The 13,695-nt window shown below is 43.0% G+C and overlaps 1 protein-coding gene across 3 annotated transcripts; it reads left to right on the top strand.

Annotated features, from left to right (window-relative positions):
- The first annotated feature begins 5,468 nt into the window (after positions 1–5,468).
- CT45A8 (cancer/testis antigen family 45 member A8) lies at positions 5,469–13,564 on the top strand. Of its 3 annotated transcripts, none has more exons than XM_011531241.3 (5): positions 5,469–5,606; positions 9,272–9,446; positions 11,367–11,615; positions 11,996–12,089; positions 13,312–13,564. In XM_011531241.3, exons 2-5 carry the CDS (start codon positions 9,278–9,280, stop codon positions 13,367–13,369), a joined length of 570 nt encoding a protein of 189 aa, XP_011529543.1. In that variant the 5' UTR covers positions 5,469–5,606; positions 9,272–9,277; the 3' UTR covers positions 13,370–13,564. The 3 variants fall into 3 exon arrangements, with proteins under 3 accessions (XP_011529543.1, NP_001278464.1, XP_006724862.1); NM_001291535.1 differs by having other exon boundaries at positions 5,523–5,761; XM_006724799.2 differs by lacking the exon at positions 5,469–5,606 and adding an exon at positions 5,613–5,778.
- Positions 13,565–13,695: the final 131 nt, after the last annotated feature.

Raw genomic sequence — 13,695 nt, 5'->3', positions numbered from 1 at the left:
GTAAATGAAAGTTCATGTTGCCAAACCCGTAAATAAGCTTTATCTCAGCCACCATAATCATGATGCACCATTACTGCTTAGAAGATAGAGGGGTGCACCCAAGTAGGTATGGAGGGGTCTCAGGTAGCTTAGAGTGGCCTCAGCCAAGACCGCAAGTATACGGCTACCTCAGTTCCACAACTTTAAGAAGTTAGACCTGCCCGTAACCCAAATGTGCTTGAAAACAGGTTCTCTCTGAGTCCTTAGTTAGTCAGCAGCCTGGTTGATACCCTAACTTTGATTTTGTGAGATCCTAAGCAGAGAAACCAATCCAGCCTGCATGGATTTCTGATCTACAGAACTGCTTATATATTTGTGTTATTTTAAGCTGCTGAATCGGGGACAATTTCTTTTGCATTAGTAACAAACCTAACAGATGTGGTGCCTGCATATTCTGAAGTAACAAATGAAAATCAGGCATGATGTTTTTTATTTTCTAGTCAACTGGTCTCAGGGAACTCCACATGAGACCACAGGTGCAGGATTAGGGAAGCTTCTCTTTTTCTGGGCCCCGGTCCATGCTAGCAGGGTTTCAGTCACTTGTCAATGGGTCCACGGTACTGCACAACATTTAGGTATATGCTAAAACAAGCATCTATTATGCAACTCGTTTCATGTTCCTTATTTAGTAGTAAGAAAGGCAAGATGTAAGAACTTGCTGTTCACCTTATAACCACCATCTTGACATGCCAGACTACCAGATTGTTAAATGCTTCACTCAGTTAGAAGGCCCCTGATTTTGTGTGAGAATTATTTCTCACATAATGTCTTGCAAGTGTGTTGCTACCATGTCTGGATTAGTTGCTACCTCCTTTTCAGTCAGCATGATGTCATCACTGCAAAGAATGGTGTCACATCTGGTTTAAGAGAAAGGTGGCCATTTTCCCTAAGAACTCGTTTAGGATATAAACCTAGAGAGTTGATATAAGCTTGAAATAGGAAATGATAGTACATTGCTGTCCTTTCTAGCTGAATTGAAATTCTTGTTTACGACAATTACTGAAAGAAAGCCAAACATTCACCTAATCAGTATTGTATATCAGGTTCCGAGGGATGTCACAGTTGCTGACACAACAAAACCACTTGTAGTACAGCAGCTGCAGTTGGAACAACAATTTGATTAAGTTTATGGTGCAATCTCGGCTCACTGCAACCTCCACCTCCCGGGTTCAAGCAGTTCTCTTGCCTCAGCCTCCTTGTGTAGCTGGGACTATAGAAATGCATTATCACACCTGGCTAATTGTTTGTATTTCTTAGTAGAGACAGAGTTTCACCATGTTGGCCAGGCTAGTCTCAAACTCCTGACCTCAAGTGATATGCCCACCTCAGACTCCCAAAGTGCAAGTGCGAGCCACTGCGCAGGGCCCCAGCTATTTTTTGTATTTTTGGTAGAGATGTGGTTTCGCCACTTTGGCCAGCCTCGTCTGGAACTCCTGACCTCAAGTGATCCACCCGCTTCTGCCTCCCAAATCCTGGGATTACAGGCGTGAGCCACTGTGTCCGGTGAAAACTTCACTTTTAAGTGAAACGCAGAAGCAAAATCTGATAATCAGAAAATGAGATACTGCGTGTTCTCATTCATATGTGGGAGCTAAACAATGGGTACACATGAAAATAAAGGTAGAAACCATTGACTCTGGGGACTCCAAAATGGAGGTAGAGGGGAGGGAGGGAGCGGGTCGGAGGGTTGAAAAACTACCTATTGGATACTCTCTTCACTATTTGGGTGATGAGTTCACTAGAAGCCCAAACCCCGGCACTGTGCAATTATATCCAAGTGAGAAATCTGTACATGTACCCTTCTGGCATCTATAATTTTAAAAAAGCTAACAAAGAAAGCTTCAGTTTTAAATCTTAACCAAATACACAGGAAAAGGATTACTATACTTGGACACCTTTACAGGTTTCTATGTTAGTTTTTGGTATTAAAGCAGAAACCTGTTCCTCGACCACTTTATTAATTGTATGTCCTCTTTGTACAAACATCGAAAATAGAAGACTGTCACTTTTGGTTCTGTAACTGTCTTGACTGCAGTCTTCTACAGCTTTCACAGAGTTAATGGTCCCTAGTATCTGCCATTCTCCAATTGCCCTGGGTGGCGAAATCGCTGCTATAGTAAACTTTTCACTGATAATTAGAGTTTCTGGAAACATGCGGGGCTCGTTATTTAAGAGTGACTCCATTTGGGCATTTTGGTGGATGGCCTACAGGTTTTCTTGCAGAGTATACTAGAGTCTCCAGAATGAATAACCCTAGGAACTTGAGGAACTAGCGCTTTCCAGAATTTTGGAAGCCGAGATACAAACATTGGTTTTCTCAAAAGCACTGCAAGTGGGAAGGAAAATCCATATCTAGACTAAATGTCTGTTCAGGTAAGAAGAAAGCACTTCTCTTTTTATAATAGAAGTGATCTATTGTAATCCACATACCAACTAGTGGCTGGCAGATCATTCTGGAGTCTGGTGCCAAATTGGGGGCTTAGTGTTGGTCTCCATTCCTGGAAGATTTTTCACTCAGCAATGACCGTAGCCAGGTTTGCCATGGTGAGTGGAGGTCCATGCTACTGCGCATAATCTCCAACCCTGCCAGTTTGACCACTTTGTTTGTTGAGCCGGTAAGATTGTGACACACGTGTTAGGGAAAGAGGCTGATTAATACCTAGATAATAAGTACCTTATCCATCTGATTATTAAAATTCTGCTCTGCTGAGGATACCCTTTGCTGAGAACTCTCATGAGACCCCAATATCTTCACATTGTATGTCCGTTTGGACAGGCCTGTCCACATATTTTTTTTTTTCTCAGACTTCTTTGTCGCACATTTTTAATCGTGTGTTCTCAAAGTCCCTGACAATTCAGCGAATGAGTGGGACACAGCCTATGCATGATACATACTTACACGTCTGGATATGCCTCCTCCAAGAAGGTGCACTGCTCAAAGTTCTTCCCTCTGGGAGGATTTCCCTTCATCACTGTCCTTCAGGGCTGTCCCAGTCAGGACTGTCGTATGCAGCTGTCCACTTGTGGCTTGTGTGGTAGGCAGGATTCTAATTAAGCCCCAACAAGATTCCAGTCTCATGGTTATTCAATCAAATACTCCTATGAGTACTGCTCTGGTGGGATTTTTTTAATGCAAAAAATGAGTATTTTATTTTGATAGCACTAGAGGAAACAAACAAAACAACTGTTCCTACATCAAAGTGAAAACAATGTTTAAGCTTTCCTATCAATCAAATATATTCCAAAAGAAAATGTGTTCTATGAAGGTTCTGAAGCACAGGCAAATATTAACACAATAGGCTAAGAAGCTGTAATACTGAATATGACTCTCTTCTAACAGGGTACTTAACAAACATAATTTTTAATTTTAATTTTAATTAATTAATTTATTTTGAGACGGACTCTCCCTTTGTCCCCCAGTGACAATGGATCTCTGCCCCTTTGGAGTGCAGTGACGCGATCTCTGCTCACTGAAGCTTGCACCTCTCAGGTTCAAGTGATTCTCCTGCCTCTGCTGCCCTAGTAGCAGGGAGTACAGGTGCCCACCACCATGCCTGGCTATATTTTTTAATTTTAATTTTAAGTTTTTTACAAACATAACTTTTGAATTACAAAACCAGTGAAGTAATCCCTTCCAAATAATTGTGTCAATAGTGAAACTGCCTGTTCCATTAAAACTCGAAAAATTTCGCTGTAATATTTTTTACCACTATGGACAATTCAAGTAAATTTTGCTGCACTTAAAATAAGTTGTGAAAGTAGAAAAATGGGCCGGGCATGGTGGCTCTCCCCTGTAATCCCAGGACTTTGGGAGGCCAAGGCAGATGAATCACTTAAAGTCAGGAGTTTGAGACCAGCCTGGAGAACATTGTGAAACACCGTCTCTGCTAAAAATACAAATACCAGCCGGGCATGGTGGTACATGCCTGTAATCCCAGCTTCTCGGGAGGCTGAGGAAGGAGAACTGCTTGAACCTGGGAGGCGGAGGTTGCAGTGAGCCAAGATCATGCCACTGCACTCCAGCCTGGGTGACAGAGCCAGACTGTCTCAAAAAAAATAAAAAAGGTGGAAAAATATACAAAGTTCCAGATTAAAATGATTAATAGATGCAATATAATAAGGTTTCCCCTCCTTCCATCCTTTCTTTCTTTCTCTCTTTCTTTCTTCCTTTCTTCCCTTCTTTCTTCCATCCTTCCTTTCTTCCTTTCTTCCCTTCTTTCTTCCATCCTTCCTTTCTTCCTTCCTTTCTTTCTTTCGTTCTTTCTTTCCTTCCTTCCTTCTTTTTTCTTTCTCTTTCTTTCTTTCTTTCTTTCTCTCTTTCTTTCTCTCTTTCTTTTTTTTGTAGACAGTCTTACTCTGTCACCCAGGCTATAGTGCAATGGTGCGAACAAAGGTCAATGCAGCCTCAACCTCCTGGTGTCAAGCCTCCCGAGCAGCTGGGACCACAGTTACACGCTCAGCTAATTTTTGTATTTTGTGTTAAGATGGGGTTTCACCATGCTGCCCAGGCTGCTCTTGAACTCCTGGGCTCAAGGAATCCACCCCTCTTGGTCTCCCAAATTGCTGGGATTACAGACGTGAGCGACCGCACTGGGGCCCTCATTTTTCTTATCAATTAACAATAATGGTTACCTTTAACAGATAGAGGTTGACTTTATTTATTGATTGATTGATTTTTATTTTTAGACAGAGTCTCACTCTGTTACCCAGGCTGGAGTGCAGTGGCATGATCTCAGCTCACTGCAAATTCTGCCTGCCCGGTTCAAGCGATTCTCCAGCCTCAGCCTCCCAAGTAGCTGGTGGGATTATAGGTGCATGCCACCACGCCCGGTAATTTTCTGTATTTTTAGTAGAGACGGGATTCACCATGTTGGTCAGACAGACTGGTCTCGAACTCCTGACCTCAGGTGGTCCAGCCCCTTCGGCCTCCCAAAGTGTTGAGATTACAGGCGTGAGCCACTGTGGCGGGTCGGGGTTGACTTTAAAACACAACCCCCTCAAATGAAAATTGCAGTTTGTTGTTGTTCTTTTTCTTTTTCTTTTCTTTTCCTTCTTTCTTTCTTTTTTTTTTTTTTTTTTTTCTGAGGTGGGGTCTCCTCTACCGCCTGGGCTGGAGTGCAGTGGCTCACTGCTACCTCCACCTCCCGGGTTCAAGCCATCCTCCCACCTCAACTTCCCGAGTAGTTGGGACCACAGGTGCGAGGCCACTAGGCCCAGCTAATTTGTGTGTTTCTTTCTTTCTTTCTTTCTTTCTTTTTTGATTAGTTGGTTGCTTTGTAGAGCCGGGGTCTCACTATGTTACCCAGGCGATTTCATCCCGCTGGGTGAGAAGGTTCTGCATTCCTCCGCATACGTTGCTGTGCAGTTGTTACTGAAGGTCGCCTGTAGAGGGCGCCAGAGTCAGCGAAGGGGAGGGCTGCGCTTCCTGGTTCTCTGGGGCACGAGGCTTCTCCTCAGCACTCTGGCGCCCCCAACAGGTTCCCAGTGTTCGGCTGGGGCAGGCACGCTGTGGCTGGCTACTTCCCTTCCTCCCATCCCCCTTGGGCCAAACGGGATCGGTGCTTCTGGTGAGACGCCTCCCCATGCACATCACTCCCAGGTGCCCTAGGGGGCACATTTCCCACAACTCCCAGAGGGCAGGTTTCTAGAAAGTGCCACCAGTGGGGAGGCGCCACAACTTCACTGCCATTTTGTGAGGTGCCGCCGTCTCTCCTCCAGCAAGGTCAGGACTTCAGGACTGTGAGTGGGCAGTTTTTCCCTGGATGCTTTAATTTCGCCCTGGAAAGTGTCCTTTTTCCTCAGAAAGAGTCTTTTCTGTGGTGTTCTCTGTCCGGTGTGTGGGAGGGCTCCCTTGGGGAAGTGGCTTAGCTCTGGGGACACCGCCATGGGCGCCTGTGTCAGCCGCGGGGGAGCGTTTTCCTTGGGCACCCCGTCTCGGCTATGTTGTGGGGCCAGGGGGCTTTTCTTGGGGGCTCTTGTTGGGGGCTCCCTGTCGGTGATGGAAAAGGCGACTTTTCCTGCTGAAATGACCTGAGCCCGGGGGGTGGGGGCCATGCCTTGGTTGCCTGTGTCGGCCTCGGGTGCGGCGGTGTTTCTTTCCCGCTCAGTCGCTGTCCTGAGGGGGGACTCTGCCCTGGGGTCACTATCTGTGCTCATGGAACGTGGTGGGGGTGGCTGTGCCCCGGACACATGATCGTAGCCCTGTGGGGTCACTGTCGGGGGCTTTATCTCAACCTCTGGTGGACTCTTCCTTGGGTACTGATGTCGGCCGTGAGGCGCATTTGTCCTCGGATGTTGCTCGCTCTCAGTTACAATGTGTTGGCTTTTCTTTGGTTCTGCTTATCCCCGTTGTGGACGCTTACTGGATGGATGCTTTCTCTTGGTGCTGGGTTTTTAAAATTATTATCTGTAGGTGCTCTCTCCCGGTGCCGCCGGGGAATGGGGTAATGTTCCTTGGATTCTCTAAGCCTATGGTGGGACTCAGGGAGCTCTGTGTCAGCCATGAAGGAGGCCACGTGACCTTGGGAACTCTGTCTCGACCCAGGTTGGGGTGCTTTTCCTCGGTTGGTTGGTTGATCGCAATTCTGAAGGAGCTCTTTCCTGGGATTCTATCTGACCTTTCAGCCACAGCCTCAGGTGTCTGTGTGGGAATGGGAGTCCAGAAATATTCGAAGGTTCCAGCTGTGCCACATTCGAACACTCGCAGTACAGTTAGTCTTTCATTCCAGCCACTCTGATGGGTGTGCAGTGATCTCTCCTTATGTCTACACTCGCATTTCTCTGCTGATTAATGAGATCGAGCACCTTTTTAAGAAATTGTTTTTATTTATTGATTTTTGTTTGTCTTTTGAGATGAGGTCTCCCTCTGTCACCCAGACTGGATTGCAGTGCCACCACACCCAGCTATTTATTGTTTTCTTTTTTTTTTTTTTTAGCACCATTTTATGTGTTTATTGGTCATTTAACTATGCCTTTTATGAAGTTCCTTTTCAGGTATTTTCCCCCAGCTTTTACTGAGATGTTTGTATTTTAAAAATGGATTTGTAGTTTCCATATATTCTGTATTTGAGTTATACGCACAGGCACACAGGCGTATATGTACATATACAAAAATACATATACAATTTTAGTATCTTCTATAAATCTTTTTTGCTTTTACACGATCTCAATAATGTGTTGTAGATGAACAGATTCTCTTAATTTTATTAATTAGTGTATTATTTATGGATAGTGCTTTTTATTATTTTAAGAAACATCTTTGACTCACCCAATGCCATTACGATAATATTCCTTTTCTTAAAATTATACTTTAAGTTCTGGGATACATGGGCAGAACGTGCAGGTTTGTTACATAGGAAGACACATGCCATGGTTGTTTGCTGCACCCATTGACCCGTCATCTACCTTAGGTATTTCTCTAACGCTATCCCTCCCCTAGCCCCCCAACCCCTGACAGGCCCCACTGTGTGATGTTCTTCTCCCCGCGTCCATGTGTTCTCATTGTTCAACTCCCACTTATGAGTGAGGACACGTGGTGTTTGGTTTTCTGTTCCTGTGTTAGCTTGCTGACACATGTCCCTTCAAAGGACATGAACTCATTCTTTTTTATGGCTGCATAGTATTCCGTGGTGTATATGTACCACATTTTCTTTATCCAGCGTCGTGGCAGGCGCCCGTAATCGCAGCTACTCAGGAGGCTGAGGCAGGAGAATTGCTTGAACCTGGGAAGTGGAGGTTGCAGTGAGCAGAGACTGTGCCACTCCACTGCAGCCTGGGTGACAGAGCGAGGCTCCGACTCAAAAAAAAAAAAAGTAATGTCTTCCAATGCATGGAAAGAATATTTTTCTCCATTTACTGCAGTCTTGAATTTCTCTGAGTGATGTTTTATAATTTTTGTGAAGTACTCTAGCACATCTTGATTAGATTTATTCCTAAATATTTGATGTTTTTGGAACTGTTTTTAATGACATTTGAAATCTCATATTCTAATTATTCGTTATACAGAATTGCCATTCTGTATAATGCCATTCATTATACAGAATTGCTATTCATTATACAGAAATGCCATTGGTTTTCATTGTATCTAGTAAGTTGACTAAATTTGCTTATTAACTGTAATGATTTTATTCTTCTGCATTTTTCTATGTACAGAACAATGTCATCTGTGAATAATGACAGTTTTATTTCTTTCCAAATTTTAAACCTATTGTATTTTCCTGATGATATGGCACTTTTTGGAACCTCCAGTAAATTGTTGAATGGATAGTGGACATCTTTGTCTTGTTTTCAAACTCAGGGAGAAAATACTGATACGTCACTATGAAGTATGGCATTTAAAAATTTTTTGTACATATGCTAACCAGAATAGGAAAGTTGCCCTTTTTCCTAAGTTGGTGATAGTTTTTATCACGAATGGACTTTAAACATTGATCCATGTATGAAAATGATCATGCGGTGTTTCCCTGTTTTTGTTGTTGTTGTTGTTGTTGTTGTTAATGTGGTGCACTACATTTGTCGATTTTCAAATGTTAAATCAGTGTTGCCTTTCTGCAATATACTCCACCATGGCTGATGTATGTCCTTTTTAAGTACTAGTACATTTTATTTGCTCACCCTTAGTTTGGAATTTTTGTGTCTAAGTTCGGGGTGATCTTGGCTTGTATTTTTGGCTTGATCTTGTAGTTTTTCATTCTTCTAAATTCCTTGTCAGATGTTGTTATCAGTTTTGTATCAATCTTCTAATAAGGGTTCCTAATAAGGGTTAATACACGTTGGTTTATGCATCTATTTGAATATATAAGCATAAATACTTATATATTAAATATATATGATATATAATATATAATTTAAAATATAATGTATAATAAGGGTTAATACAGATTGGTTTATACATCCATTTTTTCTAATAAGGGTTAATACAGATTGGCTTATACATCTTCAAATAGGTAATAATATTTTTATCTATTTTTGGTTGATGACAGCTGCTTATTCCACAAGCATTCTGATTGATTTGGTTATACCATCTTTCTTCTGTTTTACTTTGTGTACATTAAAATTAGGTTTCTTTTCCTGAGAACAGAGTGTTTGTTGAGACTTGGTAAATCTTGGCTCATGATTAAAAGTGAAATTAATGATTCAAAGTCTTGGTTGTATACACATATGCAGATTGCTTGCCATTTTGTGATTGTTAGATTTTTGTCATGAATAGAATATATTCATTGATGTTTTTCAGGAAACAATGACCGATAAAACAGAGAAGGTGGCTGTAGATCCTGAAACTGTGTTTAAACGTCCCAGGGAATGTGACAGTCCTTCGTATCAGAAAAGGCAGAGGATGGCCCTGTTGGCAAGGAAACAAGGAGCAGGAGACAGCCTTATTGCAGGCTCTGCCATGTCCAAAGAAAAGAGTAAGTAAGCCTGTCCTCACGTCCTCCTCATGCTCCTGCCTCATCCCCTCCAGAGAAACTGTCCTTGTCAAGGTTAACAGTTTCGGCTGACATTGCCATTAACTTCTCAGCAGCATTTGACAGTTGTTTACTCGCTTCTTCATGAAAACCTTCTAGGATTTCCATTTCCGACAATCTTTTTTTTTTTTTTTAATTTCTTGTCCGTATTGGTGAATCCCTATCATTTTTTTCTTGAGATGGAGTTTCGCTCTTCTCAGCCAGGCTGGAGTGCAGTGGCGCGATCTCGGCTCACTGAAATCTCCGTCTCCTGGGTTCAAGTGATTCTTCTGCCGCAGCCTCCCGAGTAGCGGGATTACAAGCACCAGCCACCACACCCAGCTAATTTTTGTAAGTTTAGTAGAGATGGGGTTTCGCCATGTCGGCCAGGCTGGTCTGGAACTCCCCCCCTCAGGTGATCCACCCACCTCAGCCTCCCAAAGTGCTGGGATTACACGCACGAGCCACCGCCCCCGACCCCATCATTGTTTTTTTCTACATTTCTTTTTCTTCTCTTCTCTAAATACTGTAAAAATTCCTGAACCCCAGCATCTCTCCCTCTCCTTCTATTCCACTCTGCCACGATCAATCACTGAGCTCCTGAGATACCTCCATGTTTCCCATTATTTCCCGCATCAAACACATACCCTCCAACCCTGCAGCCGGGTCATGATGTTGGCATGTAAATCACGTGATGCCATGTCGCTCCTGAACACCCATCCTCAACACTCCTAAGCACTCAGAACCGACTGCGAAGCAGCTTTGGTCTGCGAGGTTCTGCGTGGCCTGGCCTCCGTCACCCTCTCCTCACACGGGCCCCATCATCTCCTGACTCTCTCTGCTACTGTCCTTCACCCCGTAGTGCCCGGTCCATCCCCACTCCAGCCCATATCCTTGGCCTCACCGCAACCTGGAACTCCCCCTCTGCCTCTGCGCAGGCAGCTCTGCTTTTTCCTTCAAGCCCTGCCCAAGGGTACCTCCACAGAAGGCTCTGCCCAACCAGCAGCAGCTCCTGGGGCTCCCTCTGCTGCTGTTGCCCACAGGCCTGTGGACTGCTTCCTTACCACTAGCCCAACACTGTATGTTTCATTTGCTCATTGTGCACGTACTGTCTGACCGCCCCATGAGGATGTGAGCTCCACAAGGGCAGGGAACGTTGCTCTCTGGGCTGTTTACTGCTGATCCCCAGCTACCGGCACACTGCCTGCCACAGACGATGAATAAATGAGAGGTGTCAGACCTGGAGTGAAAAGAAAGTCACTTTTGTGAGACAGAAAGGAAGGATGAGGAAAATCATACACTAAAAGGGATTTTTTGTTGATGGAGTACATATAGAACTTTCAGCAGTAATGGCCACCTCTATTTTCTCAGAATATGTTTGATGTAGAGAGGAGGCTGGTTGAGGTGTGTCCAAGTTGTCTGGCTTCCAGCTTAGTAAAACATGGCAGTTTGTAAGTGAATTTGAGAAATCATGATATCAAGTGAGACTTGCTGCTTTCAACTTGTAAAGCATAACAAGCTGAAACTGTCCCATGAGTACCAGGGATCTGTGAATGTTGCTTTAGAGTTGTACTGCCTTACTTGGTTTCCATGTCTATTCATAGGGCCAGAAAATAAGAGGTGGTTTTATTGTATTATGTGTCCTGGCCTCCGTTTGTCAGGCCTGGGATTTCTCCCTGGTGTATCCTCCCATTTATTAAATAAATAATTCCCTAGAAACTGAGGAGCACATAGATGTACCCAGAGGGGTGATGAAACACACATATCTCACAGCTCAACTTCTCAGTTTGATTTCCAGAGCTGTCATTCATGAGGTCTATGTGGAGGGGAAAGAAAGTGGTCAAACACCAACTGATGGCTTTTACTCAAAATCTGTTTCACCAGAGCTTATGACAGGACATGCTATTCCACCCAGCCAATTGGATTCTCAGATTGATGACTTCACTGGTTTCAGCAAAGATAGGATGATGCAGAAACCTGGTAGCAATGCACCTGTGGGAGGAAACGTTACCAGCAGTTTCTCTGGAGATGACCTAGAATGCAGAGAAACAGCCTTCTCTCCCAAAAGCCAACAAGAAATTAATGCTGATATAAAACGTCAATTAGTGAAGGAACTCCGATGCGTTGGACAAAGTAAGTAGTATAAGAATGTCTGTTTTATAAAACTATAGGAAGTCTCTCTTTCTATGATTCAGAAGATATTCATGTTGCCTGTTGAGTTTCATTCTTTGCCAGAGTTGAGATTGCACATAATTTATGGTGGTTCCTCTTTTCTTTGACTAAAGCATGTACATTTTTTCTTTTTCTTTTCTTACTTGGTTATGGTTAAAGGAGTTACATTCGTATGTATGTGCAGGTGTCTTTTTTATTATTTAGGTTTTGTATGTGCAGGTATCTTGATTTAAGCATTTAAAACATTTCAGCCTCTGAAGCATGATTGCTGAGGTGTAGATTCACTTCTATTCTTCTTTATATTTGATAATACTGAAGTTTTTTTTTTTCAACATCTTCAGAATATGAAAAAATCTTCGAAATGCTTGAAGGAGTGCAAGGACCTACTGCAGTCAGGAAACGATTTTTTGAATCCATCATCAAGGAAGCAGCAAGGTGGGTAGAAATAGGAACTGTCCAATTTCTTTAAGCACTTGGGCTCAATAGAGCACTGGGGGTGAGCGTTGGGGAACAGCCCCTGCCTTGCGTTTCTCAAACCCTGGTCCTCACTCACAGTTACGGCTGTCTCCACAGTTACTTAGGCTAATGTTATCTGAGTCTAACTCATTCTTCGAAGACTATGGAGACTTCCATTTTCACCATAGTCTGAGGTGCGCATTGTCCCTCAATTGACACTCTTTGTATTTGCTAGACTACCTCTTTTTAAAAAATTTGTGTAGGCACATAGCAGATGCATATATTTCTGGGCTATATGAGATATTGTGATACAGACAACAATGTGTAATAATCACATCAAGGTAAGTGGGGTTTCTATCACCTCAAGCTTTTATCCTTTGCGTTACGGGGAGAATACAATTATACTCTTCATTATTTTTAAATGTGCAATTAAATTATTACCGACTATAGTCACCCTGTTGGGCTATGAAATACGACATCTTATTTATTCCATACTTCTACGTATTAATCATCCCCACTTCCCACACCCTCCACCCCCACTAACCTTTGTAGCCTCTGGTAACTGTCATTCTACTCTCTATCTCCATTAGTTCAGTTGTTTTACACTTTTACTCCCAAAAATAAGTGAGAACATGTGAAGTTTGTCTTTCTGTGCCTGGCTTATTTCACTTAACATAAGGACCTTCGGTTCTATCCGTGTTGTTGCAAATGACTGAATCTCATTCTTTTTTTTATGGCTAAACAGTACTCTGTGGTGTATATGTACCATATTTTCTTTACCCATTCACGTGTTAGTGGACACTTAGGTTGCTTCCAAATCTTGGCTACTGTGAATGGTGGTGCAGGAAACATGGGAGTGCAGATATCTCTTCGGTACACTGACTTCCTTTCTCTTGGGTATATACCCAGCAGTGGGATTGCTGGATCATATGATAGCTCCATTTTTAGTTGTTTGAGGAACCTCCAAACTGTTCTTCATAGTTGTTGTAGTAATTTATGTTCCCACCAACAGTGTATGAGGGTTCCCTTTTCTCCACACCCTTGCCAGCATTTGCTATGCCGGCTAGACTGCCTCTTACCATGCAGATACATTTCTATTTCCATGCTGACTGTTACTTCATCTTTCTATCTGTCACAGCGCTTCCTACAGCATAGGTTCTTTGGCTATCTTTTGGTTAATGACATGTCTCTTTCTCTTCAGATGTATGAGACGAGACTTTGTTAAGCACCTTAAGAAGAAACTGAAACGTATGATTTGAGAATACTTGTCCCTGGAGGATTATCACACCCCAAATGCATAATCTCATTAATGATTGAGGAGAGAAAAGGATCAGATTGCTGTTTTCTACAATGGAGCAGGATATTGCTGAAGTCTCCTGGCATATGTTACCGAATCAACTGGCCTTCCAGAGGCTAAGAAATTTCTGTTAGTAAAAGATGTTCTTTTTCCCAAAGCGTTTTATTTGAAAGGATAACTTGTGTTTTGGTTATTTTGTATTCCCACCTGTGCTGGTAGATATTATTAACCCATTAGGTAAATACTATTACAGTCGTGGTTTCTGCAGCAGCTCACACTGATGTAGCT

This window comes from Homo sapiens, chromosome X, assembly GCF_000001405.40.
Source record: "Homo sapiens chromosome X, GRCh38.p14 Primary Assembly".
Classification (NCBI taxonomy): Eukaryota; Metazoa; Chordata; class Mammalia; order Primates; family Hominidae; genus Homo; species Homo sapiens.
Note: the sequence above shows the minus strand (reverse complement) of the source record. Positions and strands in the feature narration are given on the sequence as shown.